The sequence below is a fragment of the Homo sapiens genome, chromosome 2 (assembly GCF_000001405.40).
Source record: "Homo sapiens chromosome 2, GRCh38.p14 Primary Assembly".
Taxonomy (NCBI): Eukaryota; Metazoa; Chordata; class Mammalia; order Primates; family Hominidae; genus Homo; species Homo sapiens.
Window position 1 is genome coordinate 158,577,389 of NC_000002.12, and position 24,735 is coordinate 158,602,123.

The window sequence follows — 24,735 nt, forward strand, 5'->3', positions numbered from 1 at the left end:
GGGCCAATGGCTCCATCTTTATGCACACTCAAGTTACATGCCTTACTAGGTTGTTCTCTATGCAGCAAAAGATTCTGTTAGTGTTGTTACTGTTAACTTGCCTTCCAGAATTTGAAACCAAAAATGTCCATTTATTCTAATTTTGAGAAGCCTCTTGCAATCCCTCAGTCCTGTGCTTGAAATGTTTTCTATAGCATTGGCAAGCTTCTGTAGCAAAAGCTACTGTGCTGCCTTCAGATTCCTCATATGTACACACAGTTAATGGGTGTTGTCGTGATTAATTGCTAATTATTTGGTAAAGTTAATTGGCTGGTGCTTTGAACACCTGGTATTGATTTTTTTAAAACTAAGAAATATTTCTAAATAAGATTGCATTAACTTTAAAAATGTCTTCAATTTACTTTGGGTTTTTCTAGAACTCTATGAATCTACCACACAAACTAATTACTATATGGAATAATTTACTGTACTCACATACAGTAAATACTAAATGAGTGCATTACTGTAAAAACATAATCATGATTGTTATTTTTTATTTAAGTACCTCTTATGCTATTTAAAAGCATAATTCCTGTAAAAATTACATGTTCCGAATAGTTAAATCACTGCTTATCCTATCTATAGATTTCTTTCTTAATAATTACATATTTCTGTAAAGCCTACTGTAAAATGCTTTCATTGCTTGCAGTTTTAAGTTTGATCTGCTTACACTTAGGTAGACATGCCTGCAATAACTTTTCTCTCAGTTATTTCTAACCTCATAATTATTCTACTTTTCAGTATCTTGTGTTACTCATGGGCAAAAAAACTTCTTAGTGAATAGAATTCTGTCTGTTGTTTCTGATTGTTGGTATGAACATTAAACTATTGGGCTGGTAAGTTGTAGTAATATGAATTTTTCATCTCTCTTAACAGTTGTGTATATTGATATGTTTGGTAAGGCATAAAGTATATAAATAAAGGTCGTCAAAACTTTTACAAAACAAATATAAGATTATGTAATTATTTTATAAATATCCAGGAAGGTTTTTATAGAAAGAGAATTATAAGCAAGGTATAAAATAATAAATTAGAAATTTCTAACTCAGACTTTGCAATACCCAATGAAATAATTCGTTAAGTTAAAACTGTGAAAACAAAAATTAGCTTTAATTCTCTATAATATTTTTTAGAAATTATCCGTATCTTTAGCACCAAAAAGAACAACTCACAAACTCAATAATATGGTATTATATATTTCTAAAAGGTATGAACCAACTGGTTTTGTTTTTCTAACCAGAATTATATTTTAATAGAAAAGTAATTCAACATTTAACAGAATTCTGTTAGTACTTCTTATTCTGGCAATATTACTAACTAAATTAAAATAGAAATTCTCTTGATAAACTCCTAGTAATACTTGGTATATCAATAATAAAGACCAATACCTAGAGGAAATGGCACAAGAGGAGGGAAAATCCCCAGATATTGAAACTAGAAAGAGCACTGAAAACCAGAGCCAGAAGCTTGAGCTACCTCTGTAGGAGATGTGAGAACAGTTGTCAAACCTCAAAGTAAGCACTAGAGGTGGATTTTATACCCATAGAGGAGCTAAAGAATGAAGTTTTGTGTGTGCTCAAGATGGTATGTTTGAACTTAACATCACTGCACTAAGCCATGTCCTTTAAAGGACCCCATGATTAGCAAACCCCAGGCTTCTATCATATGTGGGTTTGGAGCCCAAATGTAACTATCCACATTGCTCAGGAGTCCCCAGTGAGAAAATGGCACCACTAAAGATGAGCTCACAGTGAGATAGTATAAAACACAAATTTATGAATGACATCAGCAAGATGACAGAATAGGACTTGTCAGTGCCCATCCTCTCACAGAAACTTCAATTTGAACAACCATTCACACACACAAATACCTTCACTAGAGCTAAGGAATCCAGACGAGAGATTACAGCACCTGAATGTAGCACAGAAATAAGAAAAGATGTATTGAAGAGGGTAGGAAGGACAGTTTCACACTGTGCTTTGTTCGTCATGTATTTCCAAATTAGTTCTGATTTTGTAAAAAAAAAAAAAAAGCATTGAATTACATATCATAAAAAAACTTGACCATGAGTGAGAGAATCAGTGAGCAAAAGAGTAGGGTTTCACAGTCCAAGAACTGGATACCATTGGAGGAAGTCTGACAGGTGTGCACAGTAAAACAGATACAAAGCATGCTCATTGCAGCACCATTTGCAAAAGTAAAAAATTACAAAGAACATACTTATTCCTTAGAATGGAAATGGAAAATAAACTGTTAATAGGTACACTCTAAAGCAGTTAAAATGAAACTCTAGAGCAGTTAAAATGAAATAACTAGATCTACATGTATCAACATGGACATGTTTGCAAAACAGACTTGAAAAGCTGTAAGTTGCAGAAGAATAGCTGTAGGAGGATATAATCTATGAGCAATTTAAAATATATATATATAGCTATATATATATTGCTATATATATAGCAATACTGCATAATAATTAAATAGTACTTGGTATTGTTTGTCAGTGTGTGCATGTGGAGTAAAATTATAAAATATTTTGGAATGACACCAATTTAAGATAGTGGAACCTCTAGAAAGGAAGAAAGGAGGACGATACTAGGAATTAGGCTTTTGCAGAATCTGTAGCATTTTATTCAAGAGCCATCTGGAGCAAATATAACAAAATGTTAACAACTGTTAAATGAGGGAGTGGTTGATATATGCATGGCTATTAGATTATGTTCTGGACTTGTGAATTTTAAAATGTTAAATAATTTTAAGGCTATATCGTTCATTGGCTGGTTCCATATGTTTTTTTAAAATCTCTAAGTAAAGTACATATTGTGGGTAGTAGTTTCTGTCAGTGACTTTTTTTGTGGTTCCTGTCTGGTTCTCAGTGCCTGGCATTTGTGCCTGGCAAGTGACTGTGGCACCACCAGTGAATGTCGGGTGAATGAATGGGTCATGCAGAAATGGGAGTGGGGTTGACCAGGGAAAGGAGGAAAATGTGCACAAATGCATATATGGCCCCACAAACAGTTGTCCCGAGCAGTAAGAGGCTCAGTGTCTAGGATATGTCCTAAAAGGACCTACTGGCTTATGAAATTGGAAAGGTGAAGCTGGCATTTAATTGTGAAGAACTTTATTAGATCTTTAAAGGAGACCAACTGAAAGTTGTTATTGGTGGTGGTGATGGTGATTAGAAGTTTTCCTTTTTTGAGAGTGCAGTGTGTAAAACAGAATAAAGAGGCCAGGCAGCCAGATAGGAATCTATTATGAAATTTTAAGGGTTATGAGTAAGGTGGGTTTCTTCATTCAGTGATCTCTGAGCTGTGGTTGGAATGGTAATTGATCTACTTGGATTGCCCTACTTTCTTCTCATGTTGAATTCCCATGTATTCTTGATGTCCCAACTAAATGCTTACCCTTCTTTACAACCTTTCTCAAGTTTCTCAGGAAAAGTCACCTCCCTCATCTGAATTCCCATCACTGTTTCCCTGTGCATGTTAGCTGCTCAACAGGTAGTAAGGCTCATTCCACCCCCATGGCCCTGGCACAGAGCCTGGCGCTCAGCAAGTGGGCACCCAGCCAAATGATCATTGAATGGATAATGAACCTTAAGTCCAGGATGCTTCGGGCACATCATGTAAAGGTGCTTTGCCATTAGGGGAGCTAAAGTTTTTTATTGTGTCACTTGAGAGATCCCCCTTGCATCTCCAGTGTGTTTCAATTGTCAGTCTTGGAACCAGAATCTAAGTGATACAGAGAAGAACAGAAATTAGCTCTTAGACCCAGGCCCCCTTTCCGGTATGCCATTTCCGATTTGCTAAAAAATAACAATTAAAAGTGGAATTGTTGCTTTGGGCCATCAAGCTTCTGTTTGATTCAGTTCGTTCTTGCATGAAATGAGTTTAATCAGCAAACTGGGGGATTTGATCACCAGTTACCTTTCATACTGTTTGATTTGGATCCTGTGGCAGAGTTGGTAAGGTGATCTGTAAGATTTTCTTACTTTTCCTGGTCCAAAGATGACACTAATGACTCAAAGGAAAACGAAAAGCATTTGTTTTTATTTACCTTTTCACCCATCCAAAGTTTTTGTCATTATTGGCCTCACCCTGTGAAGAAGGACGTGGCAGTGGCATGAGGTTCTGTTTAATACCTGTTTAATGACGCTTATGCTGTGATAAACAAACTGTGGAATCCTCTTCCCCGAATGGGTGGCTCTAATAGTGAGTAGTTCGGTTCCCTCACACTTGTAGGATCAAAGATTCATTTTTAACCCATGCCAGAAGATGTTTCCATTTTATAGGTAGAAACTAGTCCTCTGCATATATTTCCACCTATCAGGAAATGTCCCAAAAAGGTGAACTGCATAATAATCATTGGCAGTTTATTTGCAGTATGCCTTCTTGAGAACATTTTGAAAATCTTAAGATAAAATTCCTTAGTTTTTCTATTAATGACTCTTTAGAATTAGTAGTCTTCCAAACAAGGTAAAAACCTCATTTCTGATGACTTTTCCATTGGTTTTATTTACTTCTTAAAAATTAATAAAACTAGCACTATCAATATATTATAATGAACTTTCATCTGAAGTTGATGAAGTCTGTATCAAGAGATGATATATCAGACCAGAAATAATCGCTGCAACCTTGAAAAGCCCTGAAGGTGGGTTATGGCCTCATTTAATAGAGCAGTTGTAGCCTTTCTTCATTTGTACCAAGTACACTAAAGTTATCTATGCAGGTAATATTATCTGTGTATTTAATATTTTACTCATTGAAGTTTGGTTTTGGAATGAATTAATAAAGAAGTTATGGTTTGTCTGCATTTATATTGAGTAGCATATAGTTATATTTCACCTCATTGAAAGGAACCAGTTAATTAGGGAAGAAAAAACTTTTCTGCATTTGTTCTGAATATGCTATAGTTACTTATGCATTCAATATTTCACCTCATCCAAAAGTATTTGAAACACCTTTCAAAATACAAAAATTAAAAGTTGGGAAATTAGGGCAAAAAGAAGATAAAATTTAGAAAAATAAGATGAAGCCAAGTTTAAACTAGTACACAAAATGTGTGTTGTAACCTTCCATGCCACATTCACTCTGAGTGACCTAATAGCCATGGTAAAGACAAAAACGCTAATGAATTCCACAATTCATGTGTCTGTAAGAGAAAAACAAACTAGGTTGCTCAGGAAGATCCACCATTCCTGGGGCTGAGGCTTAAGTGGTTTCTCCCGTGTGTCCCCATTAACATACTGCTGTATGATGAGGCAAGCAGTGTCCTCAGTGGTCTCTTTCCAGTAAATTACAAAAACAAGCTCATAGGGCTCTTTCTTCCATTGTTAAATGGAATATAAATGGATGGAATAGCACCTTAACTAAGAGTAATTTTCCACGGGGCCAAGTCTGACACTACAGCTTGGCTCCAGGATAATACTTAGCATATGTAGATGGATGAATCAATTTTAGGTCCACTAAGCAGGCAGCCTACCATGACTATTTCTGTCTGTAGAGCCTTTTAGAGTCATGGATGGCAATGAGTGCTGAGATGTGAGATGGCTTGTGTTGCTTGTCATTGTGCAGGTGCATAGTGTATACATCTTAGCAACAGAAATGACTCCCAGGGGATGCTGGGGTATGTACAGCTCATCTCAGGAAATCTCACAGCATAGAATCTTCAGAGGGAAATATGTCCTTTAAGTCTCATGTCTCCCACGGGCTAAGCAACATCCTTCAAATCCAACTTTTGATGAGCATGGGACTTGTTCTTTTATTCCCTGCAATATCATTGATGGGGTATCATTTTCACATTAGTTGGGTTGAGATTTCACTGGATACAGTGAGAGTAAAAGGGTCCAATAGCCCACATTGCAGGGCCCACTTAGATTCTGTACCTATCTACTCCTCCCTAGGACTTCCCCTTATGCCTCCACTCCAAGGACACTGAAGCAGGCAATGGTGTAGATAAGACCGTATTCTTACTCCGTATTTTATTGATTGTGGAGTTAAATGGCATTCCTTTTAGACAAGTTGTAAAGGTCAGGAAAGTATAAAGAGAAAAATTCCTGAATCTATCATTCAGAGATAACTACTATACATTTTAAGTCAACTTTATTGAAGTGTGATTCACTTACCGTAAAATTCAACCCTTTGTAGTGTAGTTTTACAATCCTTTACTAGCACTTTTGGTATACAGTTGTGTGACGACCACCACCACTACAGCTGACATATAGAACATTTTCATGAACCCCCCTAAAAAGAGGCAACCACTTTTAAAAGTTTGCTGTATTTCTTTCTCTTAAAAAAATTTATTTTTTAATTTAATTTTGAGGTAATTCCCCACAGGTGACTTTTTATCTTGTTCCTAAAGTCCCACTTTGGTATGCCAGGGTATTCTTTAAACAATCTTTTTTTAATGTTTTGTTTGTTTGTTTCTTATATTTTTATATTTTCTGATTTTTTTTAATAAACCTTTGTGTCGAGGGCAGACTTTCAATAGATCACAGCGAGGGAGCTGCTCCACTACATACGAAATCCAACCCAGAAACAGGTCGTCTACAAATGGTTTAGCGCCAGGTTCCCAACAAGCGTTACATGACGGGTAAGGGGGAAGCCGCCTTTCTGGCCGCATTCCGTTTCCCAGGACCAGGGGCTCTCTGCACTGGGGTCCCAGCGCACGTCCAAGTGGCCTGCTGGCGGGGACCCAGTGATTCGAGGCCAACTGAGGCTCCGGCTCCGAGGCCAACCGAGGGTCTGTGGCCCTGCTGTATGGTTCTGCCTGGGCGGTATTCTGACTTAGAGGTGTTTAGTCATAATCCCACAGATGGCAGCTTTGCCCCATTGGCTCCTCAGCCAAGCACGTACACCAAATTTAATGGTTTCCACGTGCCAGCGGAATTCCCAAGTGCTGAATACCTTGGGGCCTAGGGATGCTAACTTAGTAGGTTAGGGACCAGTGCAGCCTTCCAATGGCAAGCGCATTCTAGTGGAAGACTCGGCCAGGAGAAATACTGCAAGATAAATTCACCGTTCCAGTAGGCATTGTACGATCTGTGTTCACATTTCACGCAAGCAGAGAAGTTACACTAGTGGTTCAGCTTCTTGTGTAGCAAAACTGGAAGGATAGGCCAGGCACAGTGGCTCATGCCTTTAGTCCTAGCACTTTGGGAGTCCTAAGCAGGAGGATCACTTGAGGCCAGGAGTTTGAAACTAGCCTGGCCAACATAGTGAGACCCTGTCTCTACAAAAAATTTAAACAATAAAAACTAGAAGGATTAAAAGTATATAGTTAGAATTGAAGATTTCATAAATGAAATATGATCATCTTAGAATTCTAGAAACTATCCCTGAAATTTTATAGTAAAGAATTTCAAAACTATAACTGTTCTTGACAACAGACTTGGAATGTTACTATTTCCCAGAAACTCATCTTGGTTATCTATTCTTTGTTTTTTATTTACTTCTCGATAAATTGTAAACAGTGAAAGAGAAAGTTTATTTCTTTGTACATCATAAATTGGTTCCAAGTATTTGATTTTACAAATCGTAGTTTGTCTCCTGACTAAAACAAAGCCCTAAGTTTTTATTTATATTGAAGTAAAAAATATATATTTAAAAATTGGGCCTTTTAATAATTGTAGAAAACATTAATGGCAACTTTTGGAAGTAAAGCACAGTTTAGATTTTCATTTTCGCTTTTTGCAAATGATTTTGAAATTTGATTATCCTGTTCAGAAGCATTTGGTCCCTTCACATTGTTCATTCTTTGGCTGGCTGCTGCTGGTATTAGGAAAATGGGTGGCAATGTTGAAGTTAAATAACTTCAAAGTCTTCCCAAGATTATCTCCCCTTTTTCAGTTAGTTTAAAGCCCTGCTAAAATAGAATTCTTTCTGATTTCAAAAAGGTCATACAGTTTTGACAAATAGTGTTCTTACTACCACTTAAGAAAAGAACTGGTTTATTTTAATGAAAATATTTGATTCCCCACTGCCATTCAGATTTTTTATTTTTTACACTTGATCGAGTCATCTGCAGATGCCCATCAGGTTTCGATTGATATTACTAAAAATCCTAAAAATGTTTTAGAGCTGACAGCAGCATAAAAGACCTTTTTGTGGTTCAAATCTTTTCTTCAGTGAATATTTTTAAGTCAATGAGAAATCAACCTCTTCAAATAATGTATTCTTTAGAAAATGAAGAATCTTTGAATAGATTGAATGTTTGTGCTTTAACAGTTTATTACTTATTTAATATACCACTTCAGGAGGATGTTTGAGAAAGCTCTGTCCCTTTGACCTTCAGTGCTCTCACCAGGCAAAACCTGAGAGTGCTTTTTATAAAATAACTATTTTATTGGGATACATTTCACATACCATAAAATCCATACTTTTGAAGTGTACAATTCAGTGTTTTTAAGTATATTCAGAGTTGTGCAACCATCACCACTACTTAATTTTAAAACATTTTTATCATTCCAAAAAAAAAAAAAAAACCCTCTAGCCTCCCCCTTTTTTCCTTTTCCCTGTCCTCAGAGAACCACACTAATCTACACTCTGTATCTATGGATTTGCCTATTCTCAACATTTCTAATAAATTATATCATTACAATTTGTGGTCTTTTGTGTCTGGCATTTTTCACTTTGCATGAAATTTTCAAGGTTCCTCCATGTTGTGGCATGTATTGGTACTTCATCTTTTTTTATTTCCAAATAATATTCCATCATGTAGATATGCCACATTTTATTTATTAGGCATCAGTTGTACATTTGGGTTGTTTTCACTTTTTGGCTCTTATGAATAGTGCTGCTGAGTATTGTATTTTAAGAGGGAAAAATATCAAGAGCTTTGCTCTAGACATTCTTAAGTTGGGAGAGGTGGGAGCAAAGGGAGATTCCCCTTGGCCTGTCCACCCATCCTCCCAGTCTGTCATGTGGGCTTGCCTCCTTTCCTTTCTCCTTTGCTTCTTCTTTTAATAAATGCTTGTTTATTGGTGGGTTAGTTGTCTGTAATTATTTAGTTTTAATTTTTTAGTGTATTTGGTCACTAGTGACTCTCTTAATGGTCAAATATTCTAAAGCTCCCTAACTTCATTTCTAATTCAGACTAAATGAAGAATAAACTGTTTAATATCTGAATATAATTACCGGAAACCCTCGGGATCTCTATGGTGAATATTTATTAAATTGATGCTCTTACGAGCAAATTTGGTAACACTGCATTTTTGTGATGCAACTCCTATTGTAAACACAGTAAAGAGTTCCACATCTGAAAGATACCAAATGAGTCAAAGCTGACCTGCAGCTCTACAGAAGTTGTTTATCTAGAGCAGTTTGCTCAACCACAGTTCTTCCAGAAGGCATTTTTAATTATGATATCTCATTGCCATTCCAGTCACAAGCCAGTTTCAACTGGGACATACAAATCCAAATGACAAGTATCTCTACACATGTGAATTAAACTAGTATAACTGAGTCTTGCCTAGGACATGTGACCCCAAGGTATTTCAACCAGTATTGCAGTAAGCTAACGTATTTTAAGCTAAAAATGTCACCATGAAGAATTTTAAACAATATATCTTTTATGAGTAATAGAATCTTTTTTGAACCTAGAATGTTTTAATCACAGCAAATAAGTATTCCAAAATAAATTACCTGTCTCTTAGACTGAGCATTTTAAATGTTAAATGGATAATGCAGTTAGGAAGAACCACAAAAAAGATCAGGTTAATAGCATAAATGTTTCAGATTATTTTAAGACTATTTTAATATATGTGGTTAAAATGGAGGCACCTCAGCTGTATTAATTTTTCTAATACTTTTAAAAATTCAGAGGCCCATACATCTAAAATATGTATATCATGCCATTATTTAATCATCTTTTAAAGAACAATTTTAGTTAAAACAGTATTTCATTTTCTGTAATTTTTCATAGTTTGCTTTCTGTAATTATATTATTAAATTATTTAACAGTATTGAATTATTGAATCAAAATAAGAATTATAATATTAGCCCTTACCCTTCATCATTAGAGTTTTTGAAATTATGTGTACATATTGATAAAGTACTTTAATAGGTTATACAGGATATTTCAAGATGCTTGAACAGATTTGCCTTCGCTGCTTTATAGGAGTTAGTAATTACATTTACCATCTCATAAAAGCAACAATGCTCTTAAATCCTGTATTTTCTTATTACTATTATTATTTTCCCCTTATCTGGGTTTTAAAATCTTCTTTATTTTGAGAAATGTTAAAAATTGTAAATGCAGAGAATAAAATGGAAATGTTAAGTACTCACATCCTGTAATTAAAAATTATTAAAAATTCATTTTTTATAAAAAATATTGAACATAAAATTCAAGTCCCCTTTGCCACATTTTCTCTTCCCCATAGCTAACCACTAGTATGTAATGTTTCAATTGACTTTGTATACTTTTATGTCAATACATATACAGTACTTATATATTATATACATATATATTAACACCTGTGTAACCAATATTTTGTGTTGCTTTTTTTTTTTACATCAAAGATTGTAGGTGTAGTTTATGTGCCATTGTACACCTTGATTTTTTCCATTTGAGATCCAGCCACATTGAAATGTGTAAATCTAGTTCATTCTTTTAACTGCTCTTGTATATTTATATCATAGACATTAAACTGTTTAGCCATTCCATTGTTGAAGTTTTACAATATTGTAAGTGAACATTTTTGAACATATATCCTGGTTCACATGTGTAAGATTCTGGAAAATATATAATGAGAAGTAGACTATTTGGATCATAATGAATGTACATTTTTAATTTTTCTAGATCTTGCTGGTTTGAAGCAGCTTTCTGAAGTAGCTCAACAGTTGCCACCCCCTTGAGCAGTGTAAAAAAGTTCCCGGTTCATTTTCTCTTGCTTGCTTGCTTTCTTTCCTTCTTTCTTTCTGCCAATATTTAATATTGAACAGGCTCTTTAATTTTTGCCAAACTAACGTTATCTCATTTAACTTTGCATTTTCTCAATTACTGTTGGGGTTGAATATGTTTTCATATGCTATGGTCCATTTGAGTGTCCTCCGGCTGTTGATGTTGTTTGCTCATTTTTCTAATGAGTAATTTGGCTTGTTATTTTTGGTTCTATCATTAGTTTTTTAAAGCTAAAATAACTCTGGGATATATTTCTTAAAATAGTACAGATCCTAGTACATTGTAGAACAAAGTACACCATATTGATCTATTTTAAGAATATGAACATTAGTACAGTGACACGTATGTGGAAGAAATAACTTTCTTTCTACCTATAATATAATAATAAATCTCAAATTATCCAAACCTGCCACTTAGGGTAGGTGAAGGCCCAACTAATATTACTCTCAGTTTCTATTTCCATATTTTCTTTAGTGACTCTGCATTTATTTTTTTCTGCAAATATTTATGATGTCTTTTCTAAATTCATTCACTAAATACTTAGCTTTTCCTGTTTTCTAGAGCTACAAAGAGACAAGCTTAGAAATTTGCCTTCTATCAGCAAGAGACCATTGTGCGTAACTAAACCAGGTGATGAAGTGTCTTCCTAGCAGCATAAAATGTATGCCTGTATTTTATTATTTTTAGTTTTGTGAAGAATGCTGTTGATGAGGTTGCACTGGTTCTCCTAGCTCTGTCCCAGGATGCCTTACCTTGGTATCTTTGATTATCATATCCTTTGGTAAAAATCCCTTTCTATAATTATAGTGTAGGAAAGAGAATAGCAGCAGTTGAACACCTATTATGTAATTTGCAGTTTGATAGTAAATGTCTCGTGCATGTTATCCTCTTACTCTTCAGTAGCATTTCATTTTTGGTCTTGGCGGTGGTGGTGTGTTTTGCTTTGATTTGGTTTTATTTATTGTACACCTGAATCTAACATGAGGCTGACATTTTCCCCTAAAGATAGTGTTTTTCTCTTGCTTTACCATTGGAGTGTCAAGGGGGTGGGAAGACTTCAGTACTCCATTTACCTCCTTCTTGCCACTGCACCCCTCCAAACACATGCTATCTAGGTAAAAGTTGTGTTGGCTGTACCGAGGCATCTGTGAGAGTCCTCGTCTCCAGCCCCACCTCCACTACCACTATTTTGTCTCTCCTATCTGGAAACTCTGAAGCGCTTGATATTTCTATTCCTGGTCTTTCACAAACATGTACAAGAGGTCATATAAATGTTAATTCAACAACTCTAGGAAACAACCTTTAAAAATATATTGTCTGTTGCCACTAATGTACTTAGCGCAGTTAACTATTTTAGGGGGAAATTTTTTGTAATTCCTTCATCTAATCACTTTAATATTCATGATGAAATAAAGGAAGGTTGGTAGTAAACTCTCATTCTCATTACCATTTGGCAGGTTAAGGACATAGAGCAACAAGAGCAATATGTGTGATGTTTCCTTAACCCTTCAAAGAACTACCCTAGACAGCTCTAATCCAGTGATGTATGGGAAAGGAAACTGAAAATGTGATTATCTACCTAAAAGTGAGGGCCATCCACTAGTGCGTTTTCAGCAGTTAATCAGCTTGTCGTAAAAATGTACATGGCATGTCTGCCTAGGGATGGGGGTGGGGGACAAACATGACAAGTTTGCCAGACTTTATATTGTCTGAATTGTTATTATAGTTATCTTCCCTGAGGCTTCACAATGTATTTAATAAGAAATCAATATAATCTGTTTTTGCATAGATTTTTCTATGCTGCTGTTGTGTTACTCCACAATTAAATAGGAGAAAAACACTCTAAAACTGAAGCAGGAAAAAGTGTGTAGACTACAGATTTTCACAGCTAAAAAAACTCCCATTAAATACCTACACATTTTAACCACTGTCAAATGTTTGGTTTGCATTAATAGACTGCTTATAATCCAAGGAGGAATGTCTTGAGTGTGTGTGTGTGTGTGTGTGTGTGTGTGTGTGTGTGTGTGTGTGTATTGTGTATTTCTTCTAGACTTTTTTTTTTTTTTGGAGAAAAATAATAGCCAGTTATTTTAGGATCCTATGATGTGTAGTCTTTGCTTCAGTCCAAGTCAATTAAAGATTGATCTACTTCCCAGATTTAGTTACATTATCAATAATGGGGCTATTTCAGCCACAGAGAAAATTCAAGTAAAATTATCAACCATAATACAAGAACTAATGCTTACAAAGTACAAAATGCAAAAGTGTATCTGTTTTCTGAACAACATTAGCAAATGTCTTTCAGTAAAGACATTTGTAAATGACAACTGAAATAGTATTATATCATAAATGAACATGAAACAAAGGGAGAAATTATATTACTGAATGAAGTAGTTTAATCAGAATAAGTCTAGAAGTTAACTTGGTAGAACTTCGCAACCACTAACAAAATAGTGACAAACCAATGATCACCAATGGCCACTAAAATCATCAGCTGGAAAGGTAGTGAGAAGTTTTACAATGAATGGATCAGGCTGACAGGACATGAACCCACTTATCTATCTTATGTTAATATCACAGAAAGGGAGACAGCCAGAAATCACAGTCACCTGATACGATGCAATGAGAAGTATGTAACGTCACCCATGACATGTTCTTGCCCTAAAATTATTTAAGCATCTAGATATTAATATCAGTTTATGGGGAATACAGGAGACAGAGGAACATGTCAGTTGATACTGTACTGATACATTCATTAGAACCAGGCTAAAATTCTACAGAGCAAATGAAATTATTTCAAATAGGAAAAAGAAGAGAGGGGGAGGTAAAACTATATATCAGAAGATTTTTAGAGACATAGCAACCAAATGTAACATATGGACCTTGTTTTGGTCCTGATTTAAACCACCCAACTGTTTTTAAATTGAAACAGGGAATATGAATACTGACTAGATACTTGTTGATACTAAAAATTTTAATGTTAATTTTTGGTGTAATAATATTGTGGTTATGTTATTTTTTAAAGTATCTATATTTAGAGATACATTTCAAGTATTTATTACTGAAGTAATAAGATGTCTTGAGTTTGCTTCAAAATAATCCAGTAATGTAGAGAATATAATGTAGAATAAAGATGTCAATGAAATAAGTTTGGCCACATGTTCATTTTCTTGTTGAAGCTGGGTAATAAATACAAAGAGTGTTTGTTATACTGTTTTTTATTGTATATATTTTAAATGTTGCATAACAGTTTTTAAAATGTTAGGTGATTCAGATCTTAATTTTCTGACTGAAATTGCATTTTAAAAATTAACCATAATTTCAATGTTTATAAGATTAGTATGGTTATATTTCTTACAATCTGAGTAATAAATATTCTTTTTGAAAATTTAAATAAATGTCATTTATTAGCTCTAACTTTTACCATTTAGAGATTATAAATTTACATAATATGTTCCACATACCATGTAATACCTTTCCTATCAATGATGTTCACTCATGGCAATGAATGGGACAGGGAGAAAAAAGAGGGAAAGAAAGATTAAGTTAGTCAGCCTCTCCTCTGTTATGTTGTAAATTGTCATTTCTTTTTGGATTCATGTTTCTTAAAAGAAACCTGGACATTAAAGCTAGAAATTTAAGGCAGTCTTGACCAACCACTTACCTTTTCTGTTTGCCTTGAAGGGTACCTGTTCAACTCCTGATCAGTGTTTATGGATCACACACTGTTTATCAAGAATGCTGTTTTAAGAGACTTTACCCTGTCTCTCCATTATCATTATCATCATTCCTTCTTATTCATCCTCTTAGGCTTTTTTCTGCTTCATTCCCCTACAGCAGTAGTTAGGAACATGTGGGTGATAGAGAAGAGTAGGAAACCAGAGTGGTGGGTAAGGGGATATGGGATGAATTAGGGATCCATGAGAGTTTTCAGAGGGATTTAAAACATTCTAGAACCACTTTTCTAGGATCCAGATGTCTTACTACATAGAAACATAGTATATGCTATGTAGAATATTGACTGTTTCCTTATGGGTCCACTCTTTTTCCAGGATAGTTATTAATAATCCTGGGTCTGTGGACTGTCCCACATGTGAATTCATTCCTCCTTCTGCACTAAAACAGCTATTCATGTTTCTTGTCCATGAATCAAGAGCTGAAAATGCTGTTACAGAGAGAAACCTTTCTTTTTCAAAAAGCAAGGCAGAAATTTAACAAGTGTATTATGCTCTCTCTTTTCACACTTACAATTAAATTTATTAATGAAATTTTTACTGTTTATAAAAATTAAAAATCTTTACTCTGGATAATTAGTAGACAGAAAGTGAATATCATTCTTTAGACACACACCAGATTTAATAGTACCTTTACATGAGTAGCAAAGAATTCTCTGTGTAAATGATTGGGGGAATAAATGTTTAATTACAAATTTAGGCTTAAAATTCCTTTTAAGTAAATTTTTACATAGTCTTTTCAAAGCACTTAAAATATGAAATAATGTACGAAATTAAATTGTATGCATCAAATAAAACTATTTGTAATTATAAATTTCAAGGATTTGGTATCCCAGCGTGTCTCTTACTGTAGACTGCTACAGCTTAGTCCCATGTTAATGCTGTGCCCAGTCTCACATAGAACAAATAGAAAAACAGGGCCCTTTTCTTGTTCCTTACCAGCATCTGCTTTATTTACAAGTATAACATATAGATGCTTTTATGCAGTTCTAGCAGAAAATAGTATGTTTATATGCCCTTTCTTATTTTAAATTTTTTTAAATTTCCTTTCTATTTCTTCACCTTTGGAAGGTTTTAGAAGAATAGAAATGAGGAAGGCAACAGCATTTTGTAGACCATGGACACAAATAGTTCCCAGTAGCCCCTCTGTTTCAAGGCCAAATCTTTGCCCAAATAGGATCCTAGGTTTGTGGCAGGATATTTAGGAAGAGAGTCTGTTGTTGTGTTTAGCCATTTTACTCTTTTCATCTCAGTTGCTTTCATTCTTTCAAATGTCACTTGAAATATTAGAAAACCTTCCTTTTCTGATTTCTACTTTGACTAGTTGGAACACCTGTTGTGGGATGGGCATAAACAGAAGTCATGTTTCCTGTATAATTTATAGGGATACCAGAGGGAACTGTTTGTCTCATTTTTGTCTAGTACTACGTCCTTTTTGATCTTCCCTTTCCCATATGGTCTTCTGACTCTTTTATTCATAGATTCAAGGCACTAACATAAAATGCTTTTGTCAAAGAATATTTAACATCTTCTGAAATTTGTTCACCTCTAGTCCCTATGAAGGTTACTTGAACTGTATTTCCTGTTCCTTTCATGTTTTTGCTGTGCATCAAATAAGCAACTTTCGCCTTCAGGAGGCTGATCATGATATTGTTTATTTAAATCTTAACTTTCCCTGGAATGCGTTTTAGACAGCTGTTATAGGGATCCAAAAATATACAGTAGAGTAGCACAAAGGAAAAGTAGAATGAAGAACTGAGAAAACAAGTATGAAAACAAAATAGGGCCATGAATAAGACCAAACATGTTCACCACAGTAGCTGGGCATACATTTTACTCAAACTTGCTAGCAGCCAATGTAAACCAAGAGTGGACTTTTTTTCCACATTTTGCTGTCCCTGTTGCTCATGATTTTGTAAAGACTAAAATTGTAAAAGCACATTCTGAGCATGGCCAAGTTTTTCAGGTAAAGTGTCACTGAGGGAAATATGAGTCTGACTCTAGGCCCTTGACCTTTTCTGCCTTCCATGAGGTATCAGGTCTGCCTTCCTATAGCCATCTTGTTTGCTCATTCTGTTGGTCACACCAGTGGTTGGGTTTGGAGTGGAGATGGATTGACGCAGAGCCTCACTGGTGGAAGGCAACTCAAGCCTCATGTCCTGTTGCTGATGGGTCAGGAACAGCTATAGCCTACATGAAGGGTGTCATTTTTAATTCAAGTGCTCTTGCTTTTCTGTAACCTCGATATCACCCTCAGATCATATAAATAATTATGAAAAGAAGCCCTTTGCCCTGTCTCATTTGTTATGCCTTGCTTAGTTCAAACTATAGGCATGTACCATTTTCAGGGGCAAGGTCATAACACATAAAAATAACTAAACTACAGTTAGGCACCTGTTGTCACATTTTCACTTTTCCTGGCTGCTGAGATCTTGGGAATAGCCTTAGGAAGAGAGGGGACTAACGGCCATTCTGATGAAAAGCCAGGAAGAATTAATTAGTGGCCCTTTCTTGGGAAGAAAGAAATCAGTCTCCATCCAACAGAGAATTGCCCAGGATCTGACAGCATGGTAAAGAGACACTTGGTCAGTGAAAAACCAGGAATTTGGAGGAAGAGGTTTTGTTTTGTTTTTGTTTTCATTGAGATTGATTGTGAATGGACACTAAGTAAATTTGGAAGGGGTTTCAAAAAATATAGTTAAATACTAAGGAGGATTGCTTTCAGAATATTTTTGCTAAGAAATCATTACTGCCTGGATTTGTGATTTTTCAAACTAGGGTCCTGAGAGCCCCTCCGAGGTGGTAGTGAATGTGGTGGTGGAGATATTTGTTTGCCTTCCAACTCCCTCGTCCTTCAGCTGGGCAAAGCAGTTCACTTTCACTGTCTTCACGTGTTGACCTTCCTGTCTTCACCTTACTGAACTAGCTTAGTGCAATGATGAAGAGCTATCCAAACTTGTTTTGGGAAGAATAATCATGACATATTGTTTAATTTGTGTAACTGCTCTATTTGTTCTGACGTTAAGACAGAGAGCATAAGTCTCTAGTGTAAAGAATTTATTTCCCGGGCAATCCTTACCTGACTAAGAGCAACAGATAAAGGCCCTGTTTCCCAAACAGGAAAAACGGAACTGGTTGTAACCTAACAGTTACCTATTAGTAAGTGGTATGAATTTTCAGAACATCAGAAGACAGGTTATAGCATTAGAGAACCCTCTATTCCATCTTAGTCTTCTAGATCCTACTTCTCACCATGCTTATTGTAAATATAAAATGAGCTCACGGACATTCTTCTTGAGGGTCAGGGTAAGGAGAAATCTGACCTGCCCACAGGTGAATGCCTGGTCTTAATAAGACCAGGGACTTCCATAGGAATTATATTCAAAAAGCGGTATTCTCAGCATAAATTCACGAGCACTCAAGAAAGCTAAAGCAAAGAATGCATTTAACCTAGCTAAGAATTCACAAGAAACTAATGGAATATTTTACAAATGCATTAAGAGATAGACGGAGTAAAGTTTTAAATGTACTAATTAAAACAGAAGCCAAAGCAATGTTAGATAGAAATAAAAATCTTAAAGTATGTTGTATCTCCTGATCATAATTGAAGATTTCATTTAATTATAATTAATGACGATATAGAAATTTAAGTGTTTGACAGAATGTGTTAAACTTAGTTAAGGTAGTTTGTTTTAAATTTATCCTGTAACATTCTTAAGTAGAGACAAACTTAAGAATCATTAGTAGTTATTTTGTCATATTTCCTTGGGGAGGGGAAAAAAAAATCCCAGATGCATAATGGGAAATACAGAGTGACAGGGAACTATGGAGCCCAGTTCACATAACTAAGAGGATTCTGGAATAATTCTTTAAAAAGCAATTTGTAATGCCTAGAGGATAACAAGGTGTTAAGTAATTGCAATGTGAACTCATTGCCAAAAAATAAAATCACAAAATGAGTTTACCTTTTTTTTTTTTTTAACTTAGAAATAGACCTTGGAATTGACTAAAAAGTAGACTTAGCTAGAACTTCTCACAATAGATTTGGAATCCAGAAAGCCTATACATTTGCTAATGGAGTAATTTTGATTAGTGGAAAAATAAAGCCCACCAATGGCACAATAAAAGGTGAAACATATGTTATAAAATGAGCAAATCACAAATTGAAAGTAAGATAATAAAGAATTGGTGGAAAAAGAGAGAAATGCAGTTTGGAACTTATGTCCTGAAGCCACTGAGATTTCATCTGTAAACGTGGGCGTTTTTAAACTCTAATTCAATAATTAATATGTACAGAAATACAGACTTGTGTGGAACTTAGGATCAGAGCTCAAAATGGTAAAACTGAGAGAAAATTGAGGAGTGAAACATCAAGGAAAGGCCACAATGTACAAATGTATTTTAAAAATTTTTCATAGTAAAGATTAATATACACCTGATTCATGTATTAATTACATCTATTTAATAGAAGAACACTTAAGAATAATTTAGAGAATATTGTGTACCAGGCACAGTGGCTCATGCCTGTAATCCCAGCCTGGGCAATGAAATGAGACCTTGTCTCTTTAAAAAAAAAAAAAGAAAAGAATATTGTAATATTGTAAAAAACTATGGTGTGACAGTGAAAGTAGATCATGTAACGCTACTCATTTGAGATGGTTTAAACAGCCATTAAAGAGATCATCTGTCATGACACAGAGGGGGAGAAATGTCAGATTTCTTACACATGCAGCGTATTATTTTGGTGGTCTCCCAAACTGGCTTATTCCCAACCCCTTACGGTTTTTGAGCTGTGGAAGTCAAGGTGCAGTCTAGACTATGGCGTATAGTTCATATTCCATACCTGTCTCACTGGGGACTTCATGTTCAGATTCCTACCTGGGTGCTCCCAGTACCAGTTGACCTTCTTTTCATAGATGAGTATAAGGAGAGTTAGGTCTTTGTTTTTGTTTTTAAAAGTTGCTTCACACTTTTGTTTGTGATAGATATGTGAATGTCTCTTTAGTCGGCATAGTGCTGGGCCCTGTGACATTGACATCAGAGTCCTCTCTTGTAGAATGCTCTTCTCACCATGTATTCCCAGCCTCTAACAATGGCTGGTGCTCAATAAATGATCAACAGATATTTGTTGAATGAATCCATACGATATATGCAGTAAACATCTTTTCTATAAGATACAAAGAGCCCAAATCAGGAGGAATCTGTCTCTTTTGCAGAATGATTGAAACAGTTTCTAAAATTATGTAGCATTAATCTTTAAAACAACAACCCAAAGAGTGAAGATCAGCTATCATCTATTTAAGCATCCTACTCAATGCCAGTTCCTGGTTAGATGCAGGTAGAATTAATATACTATCTTTACTCTCAAGAAGGCTGCAGTCTGCTAGTAGAACAGGTAGGTAAACAAATACTATGGTTACAATGTGAAAAGTGCAAAAATAGAGATAAATTATTGGGTACATTCACGATAAAAAGGAGGAGGTGACCAACTCTCCTCAAGGTAATTCTGGAAGGATGATTGTTGGTCACCAGAGAGAAGGCTATAGATGGTACATAGTCTAGACAGTGGGACACACCCATGCTCCATTCATAAATAAAACAATTTCTAGGATAATTTGAGTTATCCCTTCTAATTAATACTGAGTAAAATTTAATTTGTTATTGGCTATGGTTTATTTTTTCAGCTATTAATGAGTTATATTCATATATAAATATACATGTGTGTGTAAAATTTCTTGACACAATTATTTTTGTTTATTTTTTTGAAACAGGGTCTCACTCTGTTGCCCAGGCTGGAGTGTGGTGGCATGATCACAGCTCACTGCAGCCTTGCTTGCCTTGAGCCTTGCTCTCAGGCTCAGGCAATCTTCTCACCTCAGCCTCCCAAGTAGCTGAGACTAAAGGCACATGTCACCATGCCCGGCAATTTTTTTTTTAAACTTTTTTGTAGAGATAGGGTCTCACTTTGTTGCCCCGGCTGGTCTCAAACATCTGGGCTAAGCAATCCTCCCACCTTAGCCTCCCAGAGTGGTGGATTATAGGCGTGAGCCGCTGTGTCAAGCCTGATTTTTTTAAATAAAGCAGTAAATTTTGCAATTTGACCGTATTCTGATTTCAGGCTAAGAACTGTTTCTTTTTCAGAAAGGAGTAACCCTTGGATCTTGTCCTAATTCAGTATGTCTTGCTAAGAGACTAGTAACAGTAGCTTGTGTATACTTGTGATAAAATGAGCCCTACCTGAAAGAAGGTGAGGGAAATGGCATGGCAGAATTACCATGTGGCTCCATCCAGTTCTCTACTGTCCCCTCTCCTAGCGTTTACCTACTGGTATCCACTAAAGCAGGCTTGCTCACATCAGACAGAGGAACCAGGAGAAAATTGGGTACCAACTTAAGTAAAACATTTTTTAAAAATATTCCTGTTATTGCCGGGCGTGGTGGCTCACGCCTGTAATCCTAGCACTTTGGGAGGCTGAGGCGGGCGGATCACGAGGTCACGAGATCGAGACCATCCTGGCTAACACGGTGAAACCCCGTCTCTACTAAAAAAATACAAAAAATTAGCCGGGCATGGTAGCGGGCACCTGTAGTCCCAGCTACTTGGGAGGCTGAGGGAGGAGAATGGTGTGAACCTGGGAGGCGGAGCTTGCAGTGAGGCGAGATCGCGCCACTGCACTCCAGCCTGGGCGAGAGCAAGACTCCAACTCAAAAAAAATAAAAATATTCCTGTTATTATAGAACGTGATACAAAGTGAAGGTAAACTTTAGAGCATTCTGTTTCATGGGTATATAAACAAGTTATATGGTACCTGCATGTGCCATTCTAGAATTTGAGTAATTCTGAAAGAATTTCCAGACTCTATTCCTGCATGTTCTACCCTAAAAATAGCAGTGGAAGTGTGAAACAGTATGGTGTGTGAGGCAACTGCAAGCAGTTAGAAATGCTTCAGATGTAGGTTTGTGTGGGAAAGGGCACACTAGGAGGAGCCAGGTGGTGCAGGGCCTTCTGTGCCATCTGAGATGTTTGCATTTTATCCTGTATGGATCTGTTGTGCATTAGCAGCAGAAGAATGACATCAGAGGTGAGTGTTTGAAAAAAATCGCAGTAGTAGCAGCGTGGAAGAGAGCCTGGCAGGATGAGAAATGAAAGCCAGGAAGACCAGTTAGGAGAGAGACTGAAAGAATGACCCAGCCAAAAGAGGATAAGAGGATAAAGGCCAGAACAGTGTCAGTGGTAGTAGAGATGAATTCAAAATGAGTGATAGCCATGTGTCAGATACTGCCTTAGGCTCTGGCCATTGTCTGTAAACAAGGCCACCTGCCATACCCTCATGGAGGTTACACACTAGTGGGAAGAACAAATAGTAAAATTACTCCCTGCTCTTCAGTTTGAGTGACTGAAGGTGGGAATCACTAAACAGGAGTCAGTTTAGAGGGAAATAATTTCAATACGTTGAATCTGAGCTGTGTTACATATCCAGTATGCAGTTGGAAATAGTCTACAGTTATGAGTCTTGGGCCCTTTTCAGAGGGCTACTTTGTCTTTGTTAGTTTTAGGATAACATCAGTCAGGATTTTTGGTTGCAAACAATAGAATCTTCTCTGGCTTATGTAAGCAGAAAAGCAACTTTTTAGGAGCTATTGGATATCAACTCATGGAGTCTCTAGGAAGGCCAGGGAGCCAGAATCTGAATCTGGGTTTCAAGGAGCAGTGCCTACTGCCACCACTGTATCCACCACAAATGCTCAGGATCACCCTATCTCCACATGTGGCTTCTTGTGAACTTCACTCACTGGCCTGCCCTCTGGCTGGAGGGGATTATGAGCAGGTAATTTTCTGACTCCTAATATGGGAAACAGCAAAATAAGGAGAGTTTTCAAAGATATTGCACAGCTGTCAATGTCCAACAAAGATATTTTTGCCTCCATTTGCATCTGAATGAAAAAAATTAATTTCAGGAGTATGTAGAATTTTATAGTGATCTACAACATATTTTCATGTAATATTATGATGAAGGCACATTGTCTTCCTGTAAACAAAACTGATTTTTCGTATTAAAATGAACTGTTTTGTTAATTTGGTAATAAATTTGCTTTTGATTGATGTTCACCATCTGACTGGACAGCCCCAAGGTTATTAGTGGATTTCATTCTAAATGATTAAGTTATTAACGTATTAAATTATGAATATATCTTCCCATTGAAACAAAGTTATCATGGGTGACTCAGTTCCTGTGTGTATTTTAAAATGTGTTTCACATTCCAGTGGAAGCTCCTAGAACGCAAGCTGCTTGGCATCTTCAGAAGAGAAGTGAAAGGGAACCGGGATGGAGTCATTTGTGGGCACAGTGCCTACAGACACATTGTAGCCATTCAATAAAAGTTGAGGAAGTGTTTCTAGGAATAGATGGTTGGAGGGAGAGAAGGAGGAAATAAGCCTATGTTTCTAACATGAAGCTGCCTGTGATTGTTGTAATAAACATGGGTTTATTAGAACAATTGCCTTTGGTGGTTTAAAACAGCATTTCAAAATTCCATCTGTTTTGTTGTCCAATCCCTGAGTCCCAAAGTAGTGAACAATTTGAGAGTCATTTGAAGTGAGTAATTCAAAAAGAAAATAGGCTGTTATGAATAACATGTAATGACCAGTTATTTCTCAGAATTATAGAAGTTTCTGTGAAAGTAGTTGGGCTGAATAGATGATCTTCAGAGTATACCATGGAACTATTTATTTATTTTTAATTTCATTATTAGCTTGTTTTTCTAATGATTTATATATGGTACCTTAAATGGAGGAGGGAATATTATTGAGGCTTCCCATTGCCTTCACCTAGGAATACCTATTATATTTTGGTAACCAAAGGTCCTTTCAGCAGCAAAAATGCTGTTTGCTTGATTGTTACACAACGAGGTTGCTGGAGCTTCCTACCTAGACTCGGGGAGAATAAGTTGACCTGCTTATACTAGGTAATACCTGGTAATTTGTATAATCTGACCTTTCAAAACATTAAAGAACTTGATTTTTTCACAATTTAATTAAGCATCTGCTGTGTGCCTGGCAAATGCTAGGCACTTGGTATAAAGAGATGAGCAAAACAACCACAGCCCTTGCCCCATTTGAGCAATTAGCTGGAATTATATTCTGTGACCTACAGTTTTGAGGATAAAAAGTCTTGTATTTCATTAAAGTTGATATAAGTTTCAAACTCAGAAGATAAAACTTTCTTAATATTCCCGAGAAACTTGAGGTATACTAAACATTTCCGGATGGCAGTTTGATTTACCATGTATTTTAATATTGACATAAAATATGATCCTTTTGAGGAAACAGAGTTGGGTAATACCAATCTCAGTGCTTAGAAACTAATTTAGATAATAGAATTAAATAACAAAAACAGATTGAGGAGAAATTGAAATTCAGTGTGCAGAACCACTTTTGGAGTCACAAGACAGTGATGGCCTACCCTTAGGAGCAAGACAAATGTCTCATTACTGATATTTGACCAAGTTTTCACTTTTTCCTATCAGTCCATTTTGAAATCAGCTAAGAGTGTTTCAGATAAAGGAACATCACAGAGCCCTGGAGGAGATTAGCATTAACTGATTGACTCCACTTGCTGGGAGAAGGTCACCCTGCTTGCAATTCGTTCAGTGGTCCTGGAATGTGAACTACTGCACCTGTGATGGAGAAAAGGCAAATCACACACAAAATTGAAGTTCAGGGAGTTTCTATGGAATCTAGGGTTTTCAACCAGCAAGTTTCATAACCACATAATGACTTGGGGAAAGTATCAAGGGGGTAATAAGAACTTAAAATCTCAGAAATATAGCACTAAAAGGACGGTTCTTCCCCCACTCCAAGTGCTTTATTTGGCAGAATGTTTCCTTAAGCCCAGAGTCACACTCCTTTTTCTATAAATTTAATAAGCACTCAAAAAAATACCATGAATATATGTCCTTTTTCTGGTTTTTTAAAAGGAAAAAAGGTATAAATGATTAAAAAGAAAAACATGTAATGGCTGTACTCAGGGATATAACTGCTAGCACATTCATTTTTATTTTTC

The 24,735-nt window shown here is 36.0% G+C and overlaps 1 protein-coding gene and 1 long non-coding RNA gene across 15 annotated transcripts in view; both read left to right on the forward strand.

The window, feature by feature from the left end:
- Positions 1-24,735, forward strand: part of PKP4 (plakophilin 4) — a 224,478-nt gene that overhangs the window by 120,437 nt on the left and 79,306 nt on the right. The window lies entirely within an intron of this gene.
- On the forward strand, positions 3-18,869 carry LOC105373715 (uncharacterized). The gene is made up of 2 exons (XR_001739137.2): positions 3-875; positions 10,837-18,869. It is a non-coding gene; the product is annotated as an uncharacterized LOC105373715 (long non-coding RNA).